This window comes from Homo sapiens, chromosome 5 (assembly GCF_000001405.40).
Source record: "Homo sapiens chromosome 5, GRCh38.p14 Primary Assembly".
NCBI lineage: Eukaryota > Metazoa > Chordata > Mammalia > Primates > Hominidae > Homo > Homo sapiens.
Genome location: NC_000005.10, coordinates 122,454,557 through 122,479,581, shown reverse-complemented (window position 1 = coordinate 122,479,581; position 25,025 = coordinate 122,454,557). Strand labels below are relative to the sequence as shown.

The 25,025-nt window shown below is 40.8% G+C and overlaps 1 protein-coding gene and 2 long non-coding RNA genes across 51 annotated transcripts in view, besides 1 other annotated feature; 2 read left to right on the top strand and 1 right to left on the bottom strand.

Moving 5' to 3' along the window:
* The first annotated feature begins 494 nt into the window (after positions 1-494).
* Positions 495-25,025, top strand: part of SNCAIP-AS3 (SNCAIP antisense RNA 3) — a 42,591-nt gene continuing 18,060 nt past the window's right edge. The window contains exons 1-2 of the long non-coding RNA NR_051996.1: positions 495-567; positions 767-996. This is a non-coding gene — a long non-coding RNA (SNCAIP antisense RNA 3). The remainder of the gene's footprint in view (positions 568-766; positions 997-25,025) is intronic.
* LOC107986446 (uncharacterized) lies at positions 2,755-24,992 on the top strand. The gene is made up of 3 exons (XR_001742867.2): positions 2,755-2,794; positions 10,521-10,598; positions 20,248-24,992. It is a non-coding gene; the product is annotated as an uncharacterized LOC107986446 (long non-coding RNA).
* Positions 4,587-5,415: an enhancer, noted in NCBI's record as "OCT4-NANOG-H3K27ac hESC enhancer chr5:121809862-121810690 (GRCh37/hg19 assembly coordinates)". NCBI's record gives its function as "activates a minimal SCP1, AML or CMV promoter by ChIP-STARR-seq in naive and primed H9 embryonic stem cells {active_cell/tissue: H9 hESC(naive and primed)}" and the evidence as "EXISTENCE:reporter gene assay evidence [ECO:0000049][PMID:30033119]".
* The window catches only part of SNCAIP (synuclein alpha interacting protein), a 152,867-nt gene continuing 143,204 nt past the window's right edge, over positions 15,363-25,025 (bottom strand). For 44 of the 49 annotated variants that reach the window (NR_131762.1, NR_131761.1, XM_006714734.3 and 41 more), the window contains one exon: positions 15,363-16,091. Coding sequence is in view for 47 of the 49 variants with exons in the window: in XM_006714734.3 (XP_006714797.1) it covers positions 16,007-16,091 (85 nt within the window). In the remaining 2 variants the exon portion in view is untranslated. Of the gene's footprint in view, positions 16,092-21,939; positions 23,101-25,025 lie in introns of those variants that run through there. The other 5 variants (XM_017010080.2, XM_047417922.1, XM_017010079.2 and 2 more) reach the window with 3 other exon arrangements.

The window sequence follows — 25,025 nt, the reverse complement described above, 5'->3', positions numbered from 1 at the left end:
GATTGTTTCTTCTGGCCTAGGGTTTTGGTGTGTACCCTCTTTAAAAAAATTAAATATCTAGACAATTGAGATATATATTTCTGTTCTACTTTTCTGTTTATATTTCTCATTCTATGGTTTTTCCGAGGTGGGGAGTCCACATTAAAGGTTATACTGCTTCTGGCTCTAAGATTTGATTTCTTAAACACATCCCAGGTCAACTAGAGTGCTAGAGTTTATTACTTTTCAAAAACCAAACCCCTGCCAAGTGAAAGGAGAGAAGGGCATATTTAGATGAAAGTGCTTGATGTTCAAATTCTGCAGTTTGTTGACATTTTATTGCTCAATGCAATTTCTCCTACCCTTCAGGGCATTTTGCTTAATGGTTTCCCAAGAACAGTATGATGAGGCTTCAAAGCAAGCGGCAAGTTTTAGCAACAATGCTGTTATTCCAGTTTATATGAGTCACATGTCCAAAACCTTGTATAAATCTGAAGTTTTTCCCATAAACACTTATGCCCAGAAAATATGGTAAGCTATGTTAACAAGCCATATTAGATATCAAGCATTAATATGGAAATAAACCAGGTAACTCCTGTGTAATTGATCTTTGTGGGGACTTGGAGGAGGGGAGGTGAATCTAAACTAGGTTTAGTGTGTGCTAAACTTAATTAATGGTTAACTAAATTCATTCAAAGATATCTGTAACTTGTGGTCTGATAGTGCTGGTTTTTGGATATGAATTTGTCATTAAGACTACCTGGGCTGACTCTCTTTTCGGACTCAGCCCACCTGCACCCAGGTGAAATAAACAGCTTTATTGCTCACACAAAGCCTGTTTGGTGGTCTCTTCACATGGACGCGCATGAAATTTGGTGCCGTGACTCGGATCGGGGGACCTCCCTTGGGAGATCAATCCCCTGTCCTCCTGCTCTTTGCTCCGTGAGAAACATCCACCTATGGCCTCAGGTCCTCAGACCGACCAGCCCAAGAAACATCTCACCAATTTCAAATCCGGTAAGCGGCCTCTTTTTACTCTCTTCTCCAACCTCCCTCGCTATCCCTCAACTTCTTTCTCCTTTCAATCTTGGCGCCACACTTCAATCTCTCCCTTCTCTTAATTTCAATTCCTTTCATTTTCTGGTAGAGACAAAAGAGACATGTTTTATCCGTGAACCCAAAACTCCGGCGCCGGTCACGGACTGGGAAGGCAACCTTCCCTTGGTGTTTAATCATTGCAGGGACGCCTCTCTGATCATTCAGCCATGTTTCAAGGGTGTCAGACCACGCAGGGACGCCTGCCTTGGTCCTTCACCCTTAGCGGCAAGTCCCGCTTTCCTAGGGGGCAAGAACCCCCCAATCGCTTATTTCTGCACCCTGACCTCTTATCTCTGTGCCCCAATCCCTTATTTCCGTGTCCCAACCCCCTCTCTGCTTTTCTGGAGGGCAAGAACCCCACTCCCCTCCTCCGTGTCTCTATGCTCTCTTTTCTCAGGGTTTGCCTCCTTCACTATGGGCAACCTTCCACCTTCCATTCCTCCTTCTTCTCCCTTGGCCTGTGTTCTCAAAAACTTAAAACCTCTCCAACTCACACCTGACCTAAAACCTAAATGCCTTATTTTCTTCTGCAATGCCGCTTGACCCCAATACAAACTCGACAGTAGTTCCAAATAGCCAGAAAATGGCACTTTGAATTTTTCCATCCTGCAAAATCTAAATAATTCTTGTCGTAAAATAGGCAAACAGTCTGAGGTGCCTGACGTCCAGGCATTCTTTTACACATCAGTCCCTTCCTAGTCTCTGTGACCAGTGCAACTCGTCCCAAATCTTCCTTCTTTCCCTCCCGCCTGTCCCCTCAGTACCAACCCCAAGCGTCGCTGAGCCTTTCTAATCTTCCTTTTCTACAGACCCATCTGACCTCTCCCTTCCTCCCCAGCCTGCTTGCTCCTCGCCAGGCCGAGCTAGGTCCCAATTCTTCCTCAGCCTCTGCTCCTCCACCCTATAATCTTTTTATCACCTCCCCTCCTCACACCTGGTCCGGCTTACAGTTTTGTTCCGTGACTAGCCCTCCCCCTCCTGCCCAGCAGTTTACTCTTAAAAAGGTGGCTGGAGCTAAAAGCATAGTCAAAGTTAATGCTCCTTTTTCTTTATCCCAAATCAGATAGCGTTTAGGCTCTTTTTCATCAAATATAAAAATCCAGCCCAGTTCATGACTTGTTTGGCAGCAACCCTGAGACACTTTACAGCCCTAGACCCTAAAAGGTCAAAAGGCCGTCTTATTCTCAAAATACATTTTATTACCCAATCTGCTCCCGACATTAAATAAAACTCCAAAAATTAAATTCCGGCCCTCAAACCCCACAACAGGATTTAATTAACCTCGCCTTCAAGGTGTACCATAATAGAAAAAAGTTGCAATTCCTTGCCTCCACTGTGAGACAAACCCCAGCCACATCTCCAGCACACAAGAACTTCCAAACGCCTGAACTGCAGCGGCCAGGCGTTCCTCCAGAACCTCCTCCCACAGGAGCTTGCTACATGTGACGGAAATCTGGCCACTGGGCCAAGGAATGCCCGCAGCCCGGGATTCCTCCTAAGCCGTATCCCATCTGTGTGGGACCCCAGTGAAAATCGGACTGTTCAACTCACCTGGCAGCCACTCCCAGAGCCCCTGGAACTCTGGCCCAAGGCTCTCTGACCGACTCCTTCCCAGATCTTCTCGGCTTAGCGGCTGAAGACTGACACTGCCCAATCGCCTCGGAAGCCCCCTAGACCATCACGCACGCCGAGCTTCGGGTAACTCTCACAGTGGAAGGTAAGCCCGTCCCCTTCTTAATCAATACGGAGGCTACTCACTCCACGTTACCCTCTTTTCAAGGGCCTGTTTCCCTTGCCTCCATAACTGTTGTGGGTATTGACGGCCAGGCTTCTAAACCTCTTAAAACTCCCCAACTCTGGTGCCAACTTAGACAATACTCTTTTAAGCACTCCTTTTTAGTTATCCCCACCTGCCCAGTTCCCTTATTAGGCTGAGACACTTTAACTAAATTATCTGCTTCCCTGACTATTCCTGGACTACAGCTGTATCTCATTGCTGACCTTCTTCCCAATCCAAAGCCTCCTTTGTGTCCTCCTCTTCTATCCCCCCACCTTAACCCACAAGTATAAGATACCTCTACTCCCTCCTTGGCGACCGATCATGCACCCCTTACCATCTCATTAAAACCTAATCACCCTTACCCCACTCAACACCAATATCCCATCCCGCAGCACGCTTTAAAAAGATTAAAGCCTATTATCACTCGCCTGCTACAGCATGGCCTTTTAAAGCCTATAAACTCTCCTTACAATTCCCCCATTTTACCTGTCCTAAAACCAGACAAGCCTTACAAGTTAGTTCAGGATCTGCGCCTTATCAACCAAATTGTTTTGCCTATACACCCCGTGGTGCCAAACCCATATACTCTCCTATCCTCAATACCTGCCTCTACAACCCATTATTCTGTTCTAGATCTCAAACATGCTTTCTTTACTATTCATTTGCACCCTTAATCCCAGCCTCTCTTCGCTTTCACTTGGACTGACCCTGACACCCATCAAGCTCAGCAAATTACCTAGGCTGTACTGCTGCAAAGCTTCACAGACAGCCCCCATTACTTCCATCAAGCCCAAATTTCTTCCTCATCTGTTACCTATCTCGGCATAATTCTCATAAAAACACACGTGCTCTCCCTGCCAATCGTGTCCGACTGATCTCTCAAACCCAAGCACCTTCTACAAAACTCCTTTCCTTCCTAGGCATGGTTAGCGCGGTCAGAGTTTTTACACAAGAGCCAGGACCACACCCTGTAGCCTTTCTGTCCAAACAACTTGACCTTACTGTTTTAGCCTAGCCCTCATGTCTGCGTGCAGTGGCTGCCGCTGCTTTAATACTTTTAGAGGCCCTCAAAATAAGTAGAGGCTTTTCCTACAGGGTCTGAGAAGGCCACCGCAGTCATTTCTTCTGTTCTGTCAGACATAATTCCTCAGTTTAGCCTTCCCACCTCAATACAGTCTGATAACAGATGAGCCTTTATTAGTCATATCAGCCAAGCAGTTTTTCAGGCTCTTAGTATTGAGTGAAACCTTTATATCCCTTATGGTCCTCCATCTTCAAGAAAAGTAGAATGGACTAAAGGTCTTTTAAAAACACACCTCACCAAGCTCAGCCACCAACTTAAAAAGGACTGGACAATACTTTTTACCACTTTCCCTTCTCAGAATTCAGGCCTGTCCTCAGAATGCTACAGGGTACAGCCCATTTAAGGTCCTGTATAGACGCTCCTTTTTATTAGGCCCCAGTCTCATTCCAGACACCAGACCAACTTAGACTGTGCCTCAAAAAAAAAAAAAAAAAACAAAAAACTTGTCATCCCTACTATTTTCTGTCTAGCCATACTCCTATTCACCCTTCTCAACTACTCATACCTGCCCTGCTCTTGTTTACACTGTTTCTCCAAGCCATCACAGCTGATATCTCCTGGTGCTATCCCCAAACTGCCACTCTTAACTCTTGAAGTAAATAAATAATCTTTGCTGGCAGGACTATGCCAAATCTCCTTAAGCACTCTCTAATCAGACATCAAGTCGTCCCATTTCTTAGACCTTTTATACCTGTTTTTCTCCTTCTGTTATTCCATTTAGTTTTTCAATTCATACAAAACCGTATCCAGGCCATCACCTATCATTCTATACGACAAATGTTTCTTCTAGCATCCCCACAATATCACCCCTTACCACACGACCTCCCTCCAGCTTAATCTCTCCCACTCTAGGTTCCCACGCCACCCCTAATCCCGCTTGAAGCAGCCCTGAGAAACATCGCCCATTCTCGCTCCATACCACCCCCCAAAAAATTTTCGCCGCCCCAACACTTCAACACTATTTTGTTTTATTTTTCTTATTAATATAAGAAGGCAGGAATGTCAGGCCTCTGAGCCCAAGCCAAGCCATCGCATCCCCTGTGACTTGCACGTATACGCCCAGATGGCCTGAAGTAACTGAAGAATCACAAAAGAAGTGAATATGCCTTGCCCCACCTTAACTGATGACATTCCACCACAAAAGAAGTGTAAATGGCCGGTCCTTGCCTTAACTGATGACATTACCCTGTGAAAGTCCTTTTCCTGGCTCATCCTGGCTCAAAAAGCTCCCCCACTGAGCACCTTGCGACCCCCACTCCTACCCGCCAGAGAACAAACCCCCTTTGACTGTAATTTTCCTTTACCTACCCAAATCCTATAAAACGGCCCCACCCTTATCTCCCTTCGCTGACTCTCTTTTCGGACTCAGCCCACCTGCACCCAGGTGAAATAAACAGCTTTATTGCTCACAAAAAAAAAAAAAAAAAAGACTGCCTGTTTTAGTGTGATGCCTTAACCATTGACTTATTGGAAATTTACCAACAAGATGATGCATAATCCCAAGAACTTTGTCCTTCACGGGTATTTATTCCACAGGTCAAGGAGAATATGAAGTATTTATTAGCTTTAAGGTGGTTTTTACCTTATTGAACCACATACATACCAATAAAATGTGGCTTTATGAGGGATATATTTTAGTTCTTTTATGGTTAAAATATGAAGTGCCAATTCTTACACTAAAAGAGCTATTCAATCCCTCTCTTACAATTCTCTGCTTTTAGAATTGACTCTTCCCCCCCTTTCTATACTTGTACTGGATTGGGTACTTGTCTTGGTCAAGTGACTCGGTTCAAATTGGAACATTTCTGTGCAGGTAGGCCCATAGAAATGATTATGCCTGGAGAAAGACTGTTTGCATTAATGGTTGCACCAACCTAAAAATGTCAGTAAGGATAGTGGAATCTCATTGTCTGCAGGTTTAGTAAAGAAGGTGCATGCTTTCGTGTGTCTGGAATCATGTGTATGAGCTACGTCCGGAAACACCTGGGAGGCAGCTGATCTCTCAGGTCTCTGCCCAGCATACCATACTTTCTCAACATGTGTTTATTACTGAAAAGCAGAAGAGAAAATCCTCTTGACCATATAATAAAATAAGAGGCTATAATAGCAAGTAGTCACTTTATTGCTGATGGTTTCTAACAGTGTAATCTTCCAAAAACTAATGTCAGCCAAACCTGCAACATTTAGGAGACTGGGGTGCTCTGAACTTGTGCTTTGGAAAATGCTAATACTTCCTTGAAACTTCATCTGAGAGTTCTCATTCTGCAATACTCATTGCACAACAGAGGAAATTTTCAGCTCTGGTTTTACATTTTCTTCTCTTTTGCGGGCTTGGGGACAGACCTCAATGTTATTTTAACTTAGTTTCCTCCAGGCAAGGAGATTTACTTAATTGGGTAGCCACTCAAGAAACCCTGTTCCTGCACATTTTGTATAACACAGGCCGTGTGCTCCTTTTGGTTTGTGGTGTGTCTGGAAAACAAAAGGAACACAGGAGAAAGGGGAAGCTCGGCCTGTGAAACATGTCTGGAAGGAGGCTGAAGGATATTTAAATAAAGTGATTATTTTTAAGTGTCCATTGGGCCTAGGTAAGTCCCAGCAAAATGGCCCTAAAATCAGAGGTGTGATTTTTCTGGGTTGTCAGAGTTTAAGTCTGGAAAGGAACAATATCTAGGCATTCACTTGGAATGTGGCTATTGTACATATAAGCAGAAAGAAGGATTTTCCATTCTCTTCTTATTCCTCTAAAGCTTAATGATGAATTGCTTCCTGCTGGAGACTTACTACAATCCAGCAGTTGTTGGGAATATGACATCCCAGAATTGTCTTGCAGATGTGTGTGCAGGTCCAGAGAGACATGGAGGTCTGTAGCCAGGATGCCAGTAACCCAGTCAGACAAGACACAAATAGAATGGTTCCCTTCTTGAAGTCTTTACAGGTTTTGGAAATTGGCTATGACAATTAGTCCTACATGTGTGCTGAAAAAGGCAACCACCAATATAATGACTAGTAACTTCTCAATCTAACTTAATATTTACTCCCCATACCTGCTATTTACTGCCTGTAACTAGTTTATTAAAACTTTAAGTATATTTATTTTTAAAAGTACATCTTTTTCAACATAGATGAATTAAGAAAATCCATGCTATCAACAACGATAGATAACAACTTTAGTAACTTGCTTACTTGTTTCTTGTGCTAAATTAATGTAAATATGGAGAGTGATTATGTGAGAGAGAAACTTAAGGGAAGAGACAACAACTATGAGTTATTCACCTACAAACAGCAAAATTTTTTGAGTAAGAGACAAGAAACGTGAGAAGAAAAAAATTGCAGGGAGCTTAATGTAAAGCAGAAGTTCTCTTCTACCTCTTACTAACCTTTATTTATTTATTTTTTTGAATGCAGATAACATATTTTAGCTGTGCTGTAGGGTGAGTCTTCCTCAATCACATATCACCTGCCCCCACCCCACTAGCCTGTCTTCCTCCCACTAAGCCAAAACCTGGTCCTTGAACCTGGAACTTATGAGGCATAAGCGAACAGCAGATGGCTCTTTGTAATACAACTCAAGTTGAGAAAGGAAATAGACTCAGCATAAGTTACAGGAGACATAGATATCAGCACTAAGTTAATCTTTGCGGAGAGGAGAGAAGGCCTGTGCCACTGCCCCCTCCACTTATAGGATCTTAAGCACCATCCTCACCCCAAACTACCACCGTACCCAGCAGGGGAGGGAGAGAGAGTAGCGAGAAAGGACAGCCCAAGGTGAGTGCTTAACCCAGGAGGAGGCTGACCCTTGGAAAAACAGGGGGAGTAGAAGGATGAGGGTGAGGAGGAGGGTCAGGGGAGCGTGTCAGTTCAGGCGGTCTGAGAAGCAGCCCTCCAAATGGGACTAGATGTGCAAGAGATTTATTACGGGCCTTGCCTCTGAAGGATAAAGGAGGAGGGCGCAGGTGTAGGCAGCAACGTCTTTCTGATACTGTGAGAGTGGCTCGGAAGGAGGATGGGGTAGGAAGAGCTCTAGACTGCAACACATTCAGAAAAAAATTTAGCCAGGTCAAGGGGAGTCCCAGACCACAGTTTGCCCTTGGAAGAGTCTCAGGGTGGGAGGATATGCCCTGGCTGTCATCCCTCTGCTGTGCTCAGTCACTGGCCTTGGGGTGAGCGCACAATAGAGCTGAAGGTGTCCCTACAGCAGGCTTTCTTGCAGAGAGCTCTTAGCGGGGTAATTCAGGGCTGCCACAAGGAGGGGTACATTGCATTGACGTGGAGTGCTCCTTAGAGGGACTCTCAGGATCTAGGACTAAGGCCCTGGATCTGGGTCAGAGCAAGGAGACGAATTAAACAGAGAACTCCCTTTTGAATCTCTGCCCACCTGTCTGTAGGTTGGAAAATATTAAGGGCTGTTTGACTCTTTTCCAAGATTCTCTGAGCTTGACAAGCTACCAGTAAGGCCATTTGGCTGTGAACACGTAGTACTATGCTCCTATCTGTGATTCTCATTTTGACACTTAATCACATTACATGTGGACATGGGCAGCCAGTCACTGCATCTGAGTATATATTGGTCAGCCTCTATTAAATGCAAACCTTACAGGGCACCTGCTTGGCCTCAGCCAAACCAAAAGTGGTTTCTCCCTCCTCTCAGCTACATTGAGTCCCTCCACACATATTGTTTTTTGTCTTGCACTTTATATATTTGCGTATGTGATTTCTCCCAGCGTCCACAGACAGTAAGCAACTTGAAGATAACAATTGTCTTACACTTTGAATCAGCACTGCCTTGCACACACAATTGGTGTGGACTTCAACATCAGTTATTAGGTTGCTGCAAACATAATTGCAGTTTTTGCCATTAAAGGTAATGGCAATTATGTTTGCACCAACCTAATAAATAAAACAAAGGGGCAGGATTGGGCAGATAGAAAGGTAGGGTGGAAAAAACACGATGGAAACATTTATTTTTATTTCAGCCTACTTATTCTCAGAAGGTCTTTAAAATAGAAGACATAGGTGTGTTACAGCCATTAAACAGGATAAAAATGTAAGAACAAAGGAAGAGGGTGGAGTTGGAGACAGCTTGTTATACCAGAAAAAACTAGGCTAAGGATTGCTACTGAGATTAAATGCAAACTTTGCTTTTGACCTTTTCCTGGCAAGCAAGACAAAAAGGGAAAACACGAGTTATATAAGGTTCTTATTAGCTAATAAAAAGAAGCATGCCAGTTTTTCCTATAGAAGCATTTTTTTCTCTAGTACTAACTCTAAGAGGAATTTATTTTATGGCCCCTTATAGAGCCATTGAATTTTAAAATATATGATGGTTTCAATAAGAGTTTTATAAAAAATATATGGAAACTTTTTTCTATATGACTATTTCTTATATTGATTTTTGATAAATGCCATAGTTTATAGATGACATTTCTATGGAAACTTAGGGTGTAGTTTAACCATCAGCAGTGAAATGAATTTGAGCCCATAGCTTTTGGAAGGACCCTGGAAATGGTACATTTCAATAATAATGACCACAAAATTATATCCAAATAGAATATAACTTTGGCTGCATTTCTTTGACATTTGGCTTAATAGCTCTGTTCCGGTATACACATTTTGATTTGACATTGGGCTTTCATGATAGTTAGAATAGTCTAAATTCCATATATGTGTAATGACCTAAAATTGATTCCAGCACATCCTAAACTAAACATTAGTAGAAATCACTCTGGGGGATGTGAAAGGTATTCTAAAAGACCTCTGGTTTATAAATCAGTTTAAGCACCCAACCCAATTAAACAAGTTTCTTTTGTACTCTGGGACTTCTTCGAGATATGAACATGATAATATATCATTACAGACTGGATTCCCTGGTAAGTAGACTCTGACCTAGAGATTAATGTGCAGGAAGTTTATTATAGATGGCTCTTGGGATCAACGTCTATATTACGGAAGAGAAAGAGGCTGTGTCAGGTAGAGGAAGAAGTTGGGACAAACCCGTGGGGGAGGTCTGAAGCTGGGATGGCTTTCTGGGATTGTCCAAAGTTATGTTAGGGGCTGGGTCTATATACCTGCACATTGACCACTACTGGATATGGGCTGCCCAGGGAAAGGTTGTGCTCTTGGGCAAGGTGACTTTCTTCAGCCAAGGGCAGTTCCTGGAGAAGGCTAAGACCTGAAAGCTCTGGGCCAGCAGTACCGCCAGCAGCTGGGGGACTATGTCCTTTGTTTCTGAAGGTGGGGCTTCACAGTGTATGTCAGGACTTTGTATGCACTGTTTACCTAACTAATTAGCAAAATATACATTAATCCTGGAGCATAGCCAAACATCCCCTAGTCCTAGTGGTAAATAGAATATGATTTGTGAAATGCTGCTTTATTCCAGTGGTGTATTCTTTATTCTGTCAATTGAGTATTTCAGTTAGGTTGTATATTTGGCTGCTCCTACCAGAAGACAGATATCAGTGATTTAGTCAATTAGGAGAGTTTTTTTACTCAATAAGTAATATGTACAATTCAGGGCTCACATAGCTGCACAAGGAGCTGGGTTCCTTATCTTTCCTTTTTTTCTTTTTTTTAAAGAATCTGACTTTTGTCTTTATGGCTAAAGAAGCAGTGCTGTATCCCACAGTAGTACAAAGGGCAAAAGATGAGTGCCAGGTAAGCTTTGTCCTCTACAAGATTCTCTAAAGCCCCACTCTACGAATTCCACTTCCCTCTCATTGGCCAGATTGAGTCACATGGCCATTCCCAGTTTCAATGGCATCTGGGAAAGTAATTTTACCTGGGAACATTTAACTGTGTTCTTTTAATCAGAAGAAAGGGAGAAAGGACATTGAGGAGATAACTAGTATTTTCTACCACAAATAATAGAATTTAAATTCTTCTGCCATTGTTCCTAATTGGCTGAACAACTGTGAGAACAAATTCCACAGAAAAAATATACAGTTATAAAATACATATATGAGTATAACATCATGACAGATCACTGTACTTCTCAGATTCATTCTGTTTAATTAAGACTTTCCACATTTCATCAAAAATATTTCTTATGAATTTATCGCTAATTTACTTCCACCACTTGGGGCAGAGCTGTGTACATGGTAGGCATTCAGCATGTGTGTGTGTGTGGTGTGTACAAAATAATATGTTTGACATATAACAGTGTCCTAAGCAACAAGGTAATAAAATATCATATATCTTGGTGGTTTATCAAGAAGAGCCCCTCCAGTAGCAGCTAGGAAATGGTATTGAGAGGTGGGGTTTGGTCTTTGCTTTGAGTGTGCTTTGTCTTGGTTATGCTACTGCATAATGAGTCGTTTTCTGGTGATTTGACTTCTATAAACATTGATTTTAGGAAATTTAGAGAAATATTTCATAACAAGTGAAAACCTAGCTACATTATGTTTAAACATAAAAGTGTAATGACCCTATCCTGGATTGAAAAATTATTGCTGTGTCTTCTACCTCTCCCCTCCAGAAAAGAAGTTTCACTTTCTATAACTTTAGGATTTACAAAATTTCCAACATGTGAATTACAACATGGAACATGATTTTCAAATTGTATACATATTACACACACTCCCTTAAAACACAAAATAGGTTCTTCTCCACATTCTACCCCAGGTTTAGGGATATACTACTCTTCATTTCTCTTTGAGGTCAGGGTAATTTTTTGCCTATTCTTCTGAAATATTTTCTTGATAGACAGCTCACAGAATCACAAAATTAAAAGTGGAAGCCATGGTGAATGCCAGAAGATTCTGCATTGCAACATGCTCCCAGCCGATGCCAATGCTGATGGGTTCTGACCACGTTTTGAGTTAGCAAGGTGCTGGTTTTAAAACTTAGTTGCACAAAGAAGTGTTAAGTATTTGAGGTGATGGATATACTAAGTACCATGACCTGATCGCTGTAAATGATATGGTTCCAAACATTACTATGTACCCCATGAATATGTATAATTATTGTTAACTTAAATCTGGTTGCATATGGAAATCCTAATATTTGTTCTTCTCCTTCTTCCTTCTTTCCTCCTCCTCCTTCTTTCTTCTTTTTCTTCTTCTTCGTCTTCTTCTTTACAAATACTGAGGCCTAGGTTCCACCACAGAGAGGGGATTTATTTGTTGGGGGTTTAGCTTGGGCATCCAATATTTAAGAGCTCCCCTAGGTGGTATAATGTACAGCAAAATTTGGGAATCACTGCTATAGACCAGTTGCAACAGTTTTTTCCACAAGTCTCTCCAAATGCACAATTTGGTAGACTTATCTATCTTTGTTGCTACTATGGCTGATACCAACTTCCAGGTCTTTTTTGTTCAAATGGAATGCCTAGCACAGGGCCTCATTCTTTGGCATGGGTTCAATCACAGTGTGTTGAATATATCAGCATGTGGGACACTTGTCCCACTCACATGCTCTGGCAAGAAGGGAGAAGCAACTTGCTTTTCACTGTAAACCTGGTCCAGCACATGTGTACTTACTGCAATTTCTTTGCCAGGTTTCTTTCAAGGAAGATCCCATATATATAGGGTTTAGTGATCTTGTAAACAGAAGGCAGAGAAGAGAGAGAGAAAAAAGGAGGGAAGATGACAGCAAAGAGGGAGGGAGGGGAGAGAGTAAGGGAGAGAAGGAAGGAGGAAGAGAGAGAGAAAAGGAGGACAAGGAGAGAATAGAAGAAGACTGGGGAGGAAATGAAAAGAAAGATGGCTGTAAGTTGTTAGTAGATACTAAACACCATCTGTGAGAGGTGATACTAAGATTCTGTTGAGATTAACAAATTTTTGGTCTCATTAGGAGACAGGAATCAAGTGCTTGAAAAGTTACATAAAACTATGCAATAGTTAAAGAATAAAGGGAAATAATACTGAGATAACATAACAATAATGACAGACCTATCAACCAATGAGAGTTATAGGCTAAGCGTGAATTCCATTTTTTATGAGGAGCAATGGTACCAACTCTGTTGCAGTAGTTCCTTAGGCTTACTTAGCTCTATTAACTTAATTCAACATTAAGGATATAGGTGGCTGCTGAAGAAAAAATATTGAATCTAGTTTGTATCAAGGAGTCTTTTAGGGAGTTATTTAAATATTTATAATTATTTCCTCTAGCCTGTACCATAATTTTGCTTATAATTATTCATTTTGAGAAAAATAATTAATTGTCAGTCTTACTTGAAGATATCTTTTGAAAGCCTCATCCCCACTTCCAACCCTGTGATGCACATCTAGAACTTTCTTATTTGATTTGAAGTCTTGATACTGTTTTACAAGAATAAATAATGGGAATTTAATCCACTGAAAGCGGTGACAGTTTGGTATCTTGTTATCTTTTCTAAGAAACATTCTTAATTTGCTGCGTTGAACTTTGGCAATATAAGTCCCTTTAGTGACATAAAAGAAGCCAGTCTTTAAAAGATGCTGACAGATGTGATTGTTTTTTTTACAATGGAGCTGAGTTTCCTACTCTGCTGCATGTAATTAGGCATGCAGATAGAGCTTTACTCATTTTACTAGCCCATTGGGTGGCAGTTGGGACAGGGGCCTCAAAGCTCTGCTCACTAAAAGGAAACGCACTCTCACTTTCTTTAACATGCTAATGCTTCTCAATTTCTAGAAAAAAATAAACGAGTTTTGTGTATTTTCATTTAAAAAATGGTGGACAAAACTAAGTTTGTTGTAAGGAAAACATCATTTGTACTAATTTCAAGCAACCATAATGTATCAATTTCATAAGGAACTTAGACAGTAAAGATAGGTACATGTATAATTTAAGGGCCATTATTTTTAGTATCCTAGCAGCATCATTAAACAGAATGCATTATCAGCCCAGATTTCTTGGGCTGATCTGAATCTGCTCAACTTCCCTATTTTACCTTTTTTATTCTTTGCTCTTTTGTACTCATACTGCAGAAGCTAAAATGCTAGTGTCACTGAACAACTGAATTGCCAGGGTTTTCTAAGTCAAAGTAACATCTCTTTCTTTCAAACTCTTGAAATTTTCTTTGCTATGTTTAATTGGGAACTCTATGTGGCTTATGAAATCTCTGCCTAGCCCCCTTCATCTTTCACATTTAAAAACACAGTTTAAGAACAAAACTGGGACCTCTGGGAGACATAGAGAGCACTCGCTGGGTCCTCTTTCTTTGAGGCTTCATTTTGGCCAAATCCCAAAAGTGGGCTGTGTGACCTCACCATCACCTCCTCTGCACTAAGCAGAAAGAAAACACAGGAGTCTACATTTCACATGTGCTTGCCATAAATTCTCTATTAGAATCTCAAGCAATAGGACAAAGTAGTGAAATATGAGGAAGAAATCAAAGTGGGTGGATAGGGCCAAGGGGCCATAAATCAGAGCGAGGGCATCTCGTTTGAGAAAAAGACCATGTGATAAATGAAGGTTCACACATGGCACCAGGCTCTAACAGTAGCAACTCACAGGACCCGGACAAGGACATAGCACATGGACTGAAATTCACAGATGTGTTGCTCTGTAAGTTCGAAAGGAAACTTCTCCTCGATGTGCATGTAGGCCTGTCTTGCCCTTTCCAGATTTCTTGGGCAGGGCAACGTCCCTTTCCTGAGATCAAAGGGCTGTTAGAAGAAGAGCCAACACCAGAACTCATGCCTCCTGTGTGCGAGTCCAGCAGTCAGTGCACTAGGGAGACAGCACAGTGTAGGTTCATTAGTGCAGTGGGGATAATAGGCAAATACATACCAAAGCCTAGTTATACGATTTACTGGTAGTGTTACCTGGGAACCAGGTCTTAAGACATTTCAAACTTTTGTTTTCTAATCTATAAAATGAGAGTAGTAACATCGCCACATAATAGTGTCTGGTACATAAAAGGCACTAAGGTATTATTAGCTCATTCTATACCTAATTGCATCTCATCAAGCCCAAGTTTGTCAGATGACCTACATATGCAAGATTATCTCTTAATTCAGTGATTTTATCTGCTCTCTGCACCAGGATACAGGAATGGTTCACATTCAACTGATTTGGCTGCAGTAACATTGCTACTAACTATAATAGCATACAGTGTTCCCTCCTACTGGTAAGAATACATTCTACTTTTAAACTAAAACTTGACAGGCCTCTTATAGGCCATGCCAACACTTTGAAAATAAAACTCTTGAAGTTTCAACAGAAATATATTTTTACATGATAGGAGGAAGCCTTCTGGAACTTACCGCTTACATGGAGTGAAGGAGTTGCATCAACAATGGGGCTGTTATGAACTCGGGCTCCACACTGTCTCCTAAAGGGATTAGACAGGTCTCATAATGTGTCAGAGGCAGAAAAAAGTGACCCAAGAAGGGGCTAAATCCTTAGTTCTCCTTAATATTTTCCCATGTCAACACTGAGATTTGAGAAGGCAGAAGGAACTGACTTACTTTATATACTTGTCTGATCCTTTAGTACTTAATGAAATATAGAATGTTTTATTTGACGCCTATGGGAAAACTGCTAAACTGAGCAGTTTGTTCCTGAAATCAAATATCAGCAATCAAAATACTTGCAAAGTCCCTTAGAAATCAGAACATCACAGATTTGTTAGAAAGTAGGTGCCCCAAGCTTATAGGTGGCTGTTAACATTGTTTTATTTCCTTTATACAAAAAGTAGAAATGACAGAAAAAACACTCTTGACAGAAACAATACCACTGACCTGATCTCATGAAGGAGCTGAGCCAAATCTGCCCACATTATGGGGAAAGGGAGGTTCAATCAACATTAGCAAATACTCATGCAATTGATGAAATATAAAATGGTATCAGTGGCTTGGTGAATGTCCTGTGGGTAGGGTGAATCAATCTACTCTTAAAAAACATACATTTTCCCAATCATGCTTTTAAACGGCATCTTTTAAAAAAACAAGTTATATATACAGATATCACCCCAAAATGAATCTTTTACAGTCTACTACTATAAATTTAAGGCATCCTGATATTCTGTTCTTCTGCTGGTGAGGCATTGTTTTCATGGTTCTCTTTCCAAAGAGGATAGTCCAGAAATTTCCAATAATTTCCAAAGGGCATCAGTGAGAGAAAATTTAAAAAGTGATTTACAAGAAGAGTTCTTTTGACTCTGGCTCAGCAATGTGCTTTATGCTGTAGGATTTCTTCATTTTTCTATTGATGTCATTATGCCTAAGCAGAAGAGAAACCACAGGCCAAAATTAGATAAAACTATGGTCAAGTTACAAGACAATACCACTAAACAGCTCACCAAAAAATGGAAATTATCCTCACACAAACCACACTGAAGAACACTTCATTCCAATACGCAAATTATTCTCTTTTCATGTAAACTACTCTTTAAACAATGAAAGCAATAGTCATGTAATAACACACAGTTACTAAACACTCTTTAACTCAGCTATGGAAATAATTTCTCAACCATACTGATTGAAATACAGGCATTTTACAGTCAAGGGAATTTTATCAAAGTTAAACAAGATAGGAAGTATAGTATTGTTGGCTGAGTATAAACAAAATATTTTTATTTTATTTAGATAGATTCACTGGTGACACTTTTATTCTCCAATAAGCTTGAGCCTTAAAAGTTTAAAGAAGAATGCTTTTTGGTGTGTGATTACTGAGTAATAGCATGTTGAAAGATCATAAGTAGATAAATCTATGGGAAAAAGAAAAAGCTAAAGAACAATATGCTCCTTTTCCCTCAGTACTTGATACCTGCTAAGTCTGCGGGAAAAGAGTACAAACTCGAGCCTTGGAACAGCTTTGCTTTTCAAATAAATTTTCCCTTGGGTAGGTGCAATCATTTTCATGAGGTATTACTCCCATTCTGGGTGTAAAATCTTCAGAGAGGAGCTATATTCTGAGGGTGGACAAGGCCACATATTACTAAATTACTTCTTGTTGCTACACCAGACAAAAACACTTTCTGGTAATGATACTAGCTATTATGAGACCACATTTGGATGCAGGAGAACCCCAGGCATGGCTCCAGAGTCTCAAAATTGTGCTTGCTCACAAAGACCATGAAGCCTATTTTCAGTGTGCTGGAATATATTTGATCATCATCATCATCATCTGAAAGTTATAATTCTTATTTTTATTTTTCCTCTAACTGGAACTTTAGAGAGCTGTCCATGGGCAAGAAAGGGAAAGGGAAGAGGTGAAAGAAAAATCTAGTTGGCTAAAAGATGTGCGAGAGATTCCAATTAAACATGATGGATTGAATACACACATTTGTCCTCCATATCCTGCAAAATAACACTGAAATAAAATAAATAAAAAAGGCACAAATTTAGATGAATAAGGGAAATGGGAGGAGAGGATACAACAGACAAAATGTCAATGGTATTTCAGAAACAAAAAGGTGGATGAACATTTAGAGTTGATTTAGCAGAGGAGAAAAAGCAAAAACCCAAGCTTACAGTCAGGGAATCCAACTAACTGATTTGCACTACCAGATGCAGGAATTAGAAGCACCGTGTACTTCTGAAGATGATAGCAACTATGTTAAAGAATGAAGAAGCTCTCTATATACTAACACATAAAGTCCTCCAACGTGTCAGATAAAAAAAAGCAAGAAACAAAACTGTGTGTACAGTGCGACACCTTTATTGTAAAAAGGAAGATAAAGATACGCATTTGTATTTGACTGCAAAAATTTAAATAAGATTTGCACATAAAACTCTATAAAAGCCGGGCATGGTGGCTCATGCCTGTAATCCCAACATTTTGGGAGGCTGAGGCAGGTAGATCAGTTGAGGTCAGGAGTTCGAGACCAGCTTGGCCAACATGGCGAAACCCTGTCTCTACCAAAAATACAAAAATTAGCCAGGTGTGGTGGCTGTAGTCCCAGTTATGGAGGCTGAGGCATAAGAATCACTTGAACCCAGGAGGCAGAGGTTGCAGTGAGCCAAGATCACACCATTGCATTCCAGCCTGGGTGACAGAGCAAGACTCTGTCTCAAAAAGAAAAAGAAAAAAAAAAAAAAACAGCTATAAAAAAGGAACAAAGAGAAGACCAGTAAAGTGATGTTGGAAATTAATATTATTATAACAGAAATAAAAAATTCAATAGCAAGATTGAAAGGCAAGTTTCAGTAGATATATTAGAGATTCAAACTAGAAAAAGTCAAAGTATGGAAAAATAGAGAAGAATCATTAGAAAATCTGAGGATCAGTCCAGTGTGTCTAACATTAGAATAAGAGGATTTTCAAAAGAGGGAACAGAGAAATTGGAGAAGAGAAAATTTTCAAAGAAATTGTACAAAACATTTCCCAGAACTGAAGTACTGAGGGTTCCAGATTGAAAAAGCTTGCTGAGTGCCCACAGCCCAGGAATGAAAACAGACCCACATCATGGCAAAGCATCAAAAAATCAAAATATTGGAGATAAAGAAGAAATCATAAAATCTTCCAAGCCATTGGCAGAGAAGAATAGGGCTTCTCAACAGACACATTAGAAGCAAAAGAAAATGAAATGATGTGTTCAAGATTCTGAAAGAGAATAATTTCCCACCTAGAATCCTATACTGAGTCAAACACTCAATCTGGTAAATTGAAGATATTTTCAGACTGTCAGGGTCTCAAAAAAATTAGCAACTGTTTACCTTCCTTGGGTGGGAAGATATATGACTGAAGCATGAGAATAAACAAAATAGAAAGGAAAAGACAGGTTCAGGAAACAGAGTCTAAACAGGAGAGAAGCACAAGGAATTCCCAGGATGATGTGCATGAGAGACTCCAGGATGATAGCTGTGTGGCAGTGCCAGGAGGCAGCAGTGAAGATGGGGGCAGGAGGAGGGGTCTCCATGAACAGAGAGTAACTGACAAACACCTGAGCTGTCTGAGGGTGCTAAAAGATGGTTTGGTCTTCAGCAGAGTGTTTAGAAACGCATTGTAAATTAAGAAACCAAAATTATTTCCATGGCAAACATAAAATTGTATGAGAAAGAAAATATAACATAGGACAACATAATGAGTCCTTGTGATTAATATTTAAATAACCATAATGATAATTAACACTGAATACTGATTTAGCTCTTGAGAGTGATACAACTATATTCATGGGGGTGGGAGGAAGAGGAAGCAGGAATGTGTGCATGTGTGTAGGTGCGTGTGTGAGAGATAGGAAAGAGAGGGAAAGAGAGAGACAGAACAAGAGAGAACAGGTGCAGTGTTGGATTGTTGGATGCTAAAATGGAGCTAGACACATTTGGATCATTGTTAAAAATACGGATTTAGGAGCCAGACTGAGTTCAAATCCTGGCTCCACAATTTATTGCCATCATTACTATGTAATCTTGGGCAAGATATGTAATCATTCTATGTCTCAGTTTCCAATACGCAAAATTAGGATAATAATAGTATCTGCTTGGCTGGGTGGGGTGGCACATGCTGGTAGTTCTAGCTGCTCAGGAGGCTGAAGTGGGAGGATCTCTTGAGCCCAGAAGTTAGAGGATGCTGTGAGCCAAGATCACACGACTGCACTGCAGCCTAGGTGACTGAGCAAGACCCTGTTTCTTAAAAAAAAAAAAAAGTATCTGCCACATAGTGTCATTGAGAAGATTAAAATAGTACATATGTGTAAAGCACCTGAAATATTCTCTGGGATACTGTACGTGCTTTATAAGTGTTTATAAGTGCTATCATTTTGATTTTCTATAGTAGAATGCCAGTAGATAACAGGGATACTATTTGAAACTGAAAATCTGTATGAGCATGTTACTTAGAAATAGAGAATACTAGAGAAAACACCTGAAGGAAAAGTGAATGGTCGATTCAAAAGAGTGAGGCTAGGGAAGGGGGTGGGTTTGGCACAGGGCACATCCAGTCTTTATTATAATGCTAGTATTACTCTTATAAGTATCTATATCACTTTAACAATAAATTAAAATAGAACACTTAAAAGAAGGTTTTGGTCATAGTCTAAAGATAATAAAGTTTAGACTTTGATGGGCATTTCTGCTTTAATATAAGAGGTGCTGTGGTCAAAAACACTAAAATGAGCACTCTTTCTGCAGGACAAAACCCCTTATGATTAGAGCTAAGTCTGTACCAAGTAAAATATTAACTTGAGGCATTTATCTGAAAAATATCAGGATAATTCAATCCTCCCTGAACCCTTCAATTACCTAGTCCCAAATTAACAGTATTCAAAGAACGAAAGTGTTTGGGTAATTCTGGCATGAATTATTCAGATAATTTGCTACTCCTCTATTTCATTTTTGGATATGAAATCACATTCTGAGTGACCAAAATTGGAAAGAAAAAAAGCTTAAATTTAAATAACAGTTTTTCAAGTGTTCTAACTTGCTGACTCTTCTAGGCATGGATTGCAGATTTCCACAGTCCATGGTGACCAGACTGCAACTTACAGCATCCATGTAGAATGGTCCACGGCACGCACGACATTTCCGCTGATAACCAAAACAGGGAAACCTTGCTATTTTCTGTGATCTCCCTCAGAGTTTTGACTGAGAGCACATCTATAAGTCTCATCTACTAAGAAATGGATTTTGGTTCAAGGCATGAAAACTTGTATTTGAAGTGCCCAAATGGAAACTCACTGTGGGTAGGTGGACTTGTGACCAGAAGGCCAATATTGATAAAGAACACACCATTTTTCCCCGCTGTGGGAAGACAGGCTCAGTCCTTTTTTTATTCATATTTTTCTCTCTTCTTCCACTTTTCCTCTCTCTAGCTTCACCTCTCTCCAAATATCTATGAAGTCTCTATCATGCACCAGGCACCAAGCAAGACACTGGGAGTACACGTGGAGTACAAAGGTGCTATTGGGGATTACTATTTTCATGAAGCTCTTAGGCCTTTTTCACAGAGCTTGCCATGTTTTACTTGAATCCTATTTTCATTCTCTCTTGATTATGATCTCCCTGAGTGAAGGAATCAGGCCTTATCCTGGCAGAGCAAAATGTGTGGCTTAGAGCTGAAAATATTTGCAGAGTGGCCCGGCCATCCAGGGATGTGGCATTAGGAAGATTGTCCATCCGCGCTGTCCTCAGCGTGGGAACGAAGAGCACCAGTGACTGGCCGGGGGAAGGATACTTGATGAAGGCACTGGAAAGTGGCTGTGTAAAGTCTCTATTTGGTATTTTTAAACTCAACTAACCTATTGCTTCTTTGAAACTCCAGCCTTAAGAGATACAGGCAGGCTCTGTTCTTTTAAAGTACAAAGATGCCTCTAGTGGTGGCAGACGTGTGGTGCAAATATGACATTAATAGAACATGTATGTGCTTTGAGGTCACACAATTCAAAACTGGATCTCTGGGGAATAAGGAAAGGAGGGTGGGGGTGGAGAAGTGAGTTGTCCTTAGGTTTTCTGACTATCCTTAAATCAGGAGCGGCTTGTTGAAAGCAAATGGTCTGGTGGGAAGATTTTGGTGTCCAAGGCAGTTCTCTTCCTGTTGTCTTCCTACTGTTGGTTCATGGGTGTTCACAAACTCCACACATTCATTTCCTGCCTCCCTGGAATAGTGATTTAAGAGAGTACGAGGGTCTTCCCTGCCTTTTTTATGTCTCAACATATCATACTTTGACACTAACTAAACTGTTTCACTGTCTTCTTGTGGTGCAATCTGCTTTCTCCTTTTCCCAGTGTAAGGAGCTTATGAAAAGACACCCCATTTGTGCATCCATCTTGGGAACTCTGCCAGCCTCTATAAAGACTTTGCTAAATTGTGCTTAGACACTGGGAAGATGTGATCATTCTGGCTTCTCATAACATGGACATTTTTTCTTTATACACAAGACTCTGCCTTATTGGCAACAATTCCCTGTAATTCTACTGTGCAATGGTCAATAGAAACCCCAAAACCTGGCACATTTGAAAGAAGGAACTGTCGCTTAATTCATGTGAAGAAATAGTTCAAGTTTAGAGCCTCCTCTTCTTCTCCAAGTCATGGTATAAAATGAGGGTTTTCTTTCTGAAAATACTTTGAAACTACAGGCGAGGCTGAGGTGGGTGTGGGCAGGACAGAGAACACAGAACACCTAAGGAAGCATGAGGAGGCAGGAAAGAGAGAGAGAGTGAGAGAGAGAGAAAGAGTTGGCGGGGTTGGGTGGGGACACAGACAGAACACTTGGGGAAGCATTGGTGGGGAGGAACCACGGAGCACCTGGGGGTACACTGTGGGAGAGCACAGAGTACCTGGGGAAGCATGGGAGCTGGGAGGGTCAGTGCTGCTCTAAGGGTTTCTGGAGCAGAGGCAATCACCCAACTTCAGGCACCTGGCTGTTGTCTTTCAACTTTTGCTCATTGGGCATGCAGCCTGATGCCAGCAGGTTAGAAAGGCAAACAGAAAATTATACTTCCGTTCAGGGCTTAGAACATGAAACTACAGGCTGGTTGCAGTGGCTCACACTTGTAATCCCAACACTTTGGGAGGCTGAGGCAGGTGGATCATCTGAGGTCAGGAGTTCAAAACCAGCCTGGCCAACAGGGTGAAACCTCGTCTCTACTAAAAAGACAAAAATTAGCTGGGTGGTAGTGGCATACGCCTGTAATCCTAGCTACTCAGGAGGCTGAGGCAGGAAAATTGCCTGAGCCTGGGAGGTGGAGGTTGCAGTGAGCCAAGATCGCACCACTGCACTCCAGCCTGGGTGACAGAGTAAAACCCTTTCTCAAAAACAAAACAAAACAAAACAAAAATAAAAAACATGAAACTACAGTTTCTGAGCAAAAACTCAAATGTCTATAGTGTTAAGCACCAACTACTTTACTAAATACTTTTTCATTAACAGCTTTAACAAACTTTTCTGAACTGTTGCATTGGTGAGATTTGTCTGTCTCTGGAAGGATGCACTCAACATATATTACATAGTTTGGTAACAACACCCACATGATTGAGTAGGTTTATCATTATCCTTTCAAGAATCAAGCATATGAGTTAAAAATAATGTTAACATTTTAAGGTCAAAAAATGAAAGCAAGATTAAAATATGGTTATTTGATAATATATAGAGAAATGATGGCAAGGAGACATTTGTTCAGCAGCACCAGGGTCTTGTTGCACTGGCTGCATTTTCCCATCAGGATTCTGGAAATGCTTTTTAGTGGGGCTGAGGATATGCTCTGGTTGGGAGCAGGTTTCAGCCAGGGCCTCACCTTTACTTCCCAATGTCTTCCACATCTTTGTTCCTTTTTCTGTTTAGTATGATGTCCTGGCAATAAGGACAGAAATGTGTGTTTGTGTGTGTTAGGGGTGGGGGAATGATACCCTAAACTCTGACTCTCTAATGGGCACAGCAGATGACCATTACTATAGTAGATGTCATCTCACTACTGGCGAAGCAGACCAGTCTCTTTGAAGTGGCTGCTGAACAACCTTAAGATCTATGCAAAATATTTGATACCAGCTCTTGGCTCTCAGTATGAAGTTCCCAGTGTGGCTAATACCTTGGCAGTAAAACCCACACTAATGGTGTTTATTGCTTTATGATTTTTAAGGACTCTATGCTAATGCTGGTGCTAGGATTAGGCGTTTCCTAACCCCTCAGGCAACTGTGCAACTGTGGTCAAAGTGGGTGTTACTGGTGGTGGCCAGGGGTTATGCCCTTTTGCCTATCAGTAACTGGAATCACTGCTCACTTTGTGCCCTAAAGATCTCAGATGGACTTAAACTCTGGGAAATGAATGTTTCACTGGCATTTTAAGACAAGTAATTGCAAACATTTCCTTGGAGTTACAATAACTTAAAAACAACTTGTCTTTTGTAAGATAAAGTAAAGATAAATCTGCTTGTTATAAACCAAGTGATCCTCTACAGTTGAATCACACTGGGGATGCTGCTCAAAGGAATAGAGTTGAATCTAATTTTAAAGGGCATTGAAAAGAAATTTAGATTTTTGCTATCAAGCTGTGAACAATTTAGAAAAATAAACAGCAAACAGAGCCCTCACAGAGCAGACATTCTTTAAAATGTTAAAAATGTTATATTTATTGTCCCTATTTTTCCTTTATCAGAAAAAAATAACAATTTCTTTTAACTAAAATGGAATTCCAATGTATTCCTGGAACCGGGATCCATCGCCTCACTCTTTTCCCCAGGGATATGCTGATAGGGCCATGTAGAGGCAATAACATTTGGCCCCAACTCCAACCCAATGACTGCCACTGACTTCCAAAGTCATACTACTCTGTGCATCCCTGCTACCTGAGAGGAGCCATTTGGTGGTCAAGCAAATTTTGGGGCCAAGATTTGGAGTCATAGCTGAGAGATGAACACTTTAGTTCCTTTCCTTCTTGCAGTGGGGTCCCATAGGCAAAATTAGGCAAGCCTAGGTATTTTTCAGGCCCACATTCCCACTCTAGTCTTAATTTATCAGAAGAATCTTTATTTCAGCCAGAGAGATCCATTCTTGCTTTATCTCAGGAGTGAACCGGCCTAGTTCTCTCTGTCTGTGTGTGATTATGAGTGAGTGAAACCTCTCCTTTCTAGCATGAAAGAACTAAGGTTTCCACTTCCTATGGAAACACATGCCAAATGACAACCATGATAAAGTATAGGTTAATTTACAGGGTAATGAGGAGAAGGGGTCAAGATGCTTATTTAAATACAGTGAATATTTTTATTTTGGGGTTTCTAAGTATTTATTGTTGAAATTAAACTCTGTTAATAAGTAAAGCCAGTGAATCTAAACTGAGCCTTTAGAAGGACTTTTCCTTAAGCTTAGAGAAGGAAAGTGTTAACCTAGCATCAGATAACTGAGTAGCCCCATAACCTCATTTTGTGCTCTGATTTTTGTAATCCTATTATAACAGATGTCTCAGCTTTGTTCCCTTTCTTATAAAAAGACAGAATGAAATGTTTCTGGCAGGAGAATCTACTGTGATACTAATTGTCTTGCTCCCTGTTGCTGTAGGAGCCTGGAAGAAATAAGAAGTATTCTTCCCCTTCCCAAGGAGTTTGCCAACTATTTGTGCTTTCTTGCCTCAGGGGGTTGCTGGTAACTTCAGCTTAAGGACAAAACCAGAATTTTCCAGGCACCAGAAAACACATTCCTCCCAAGATGGGGACAGAGAAGGGCATAGGGGTGAGGAACCCAGGTTAGGAGAAATGAAATAGAAGTGGGCTAATACCAAGGTC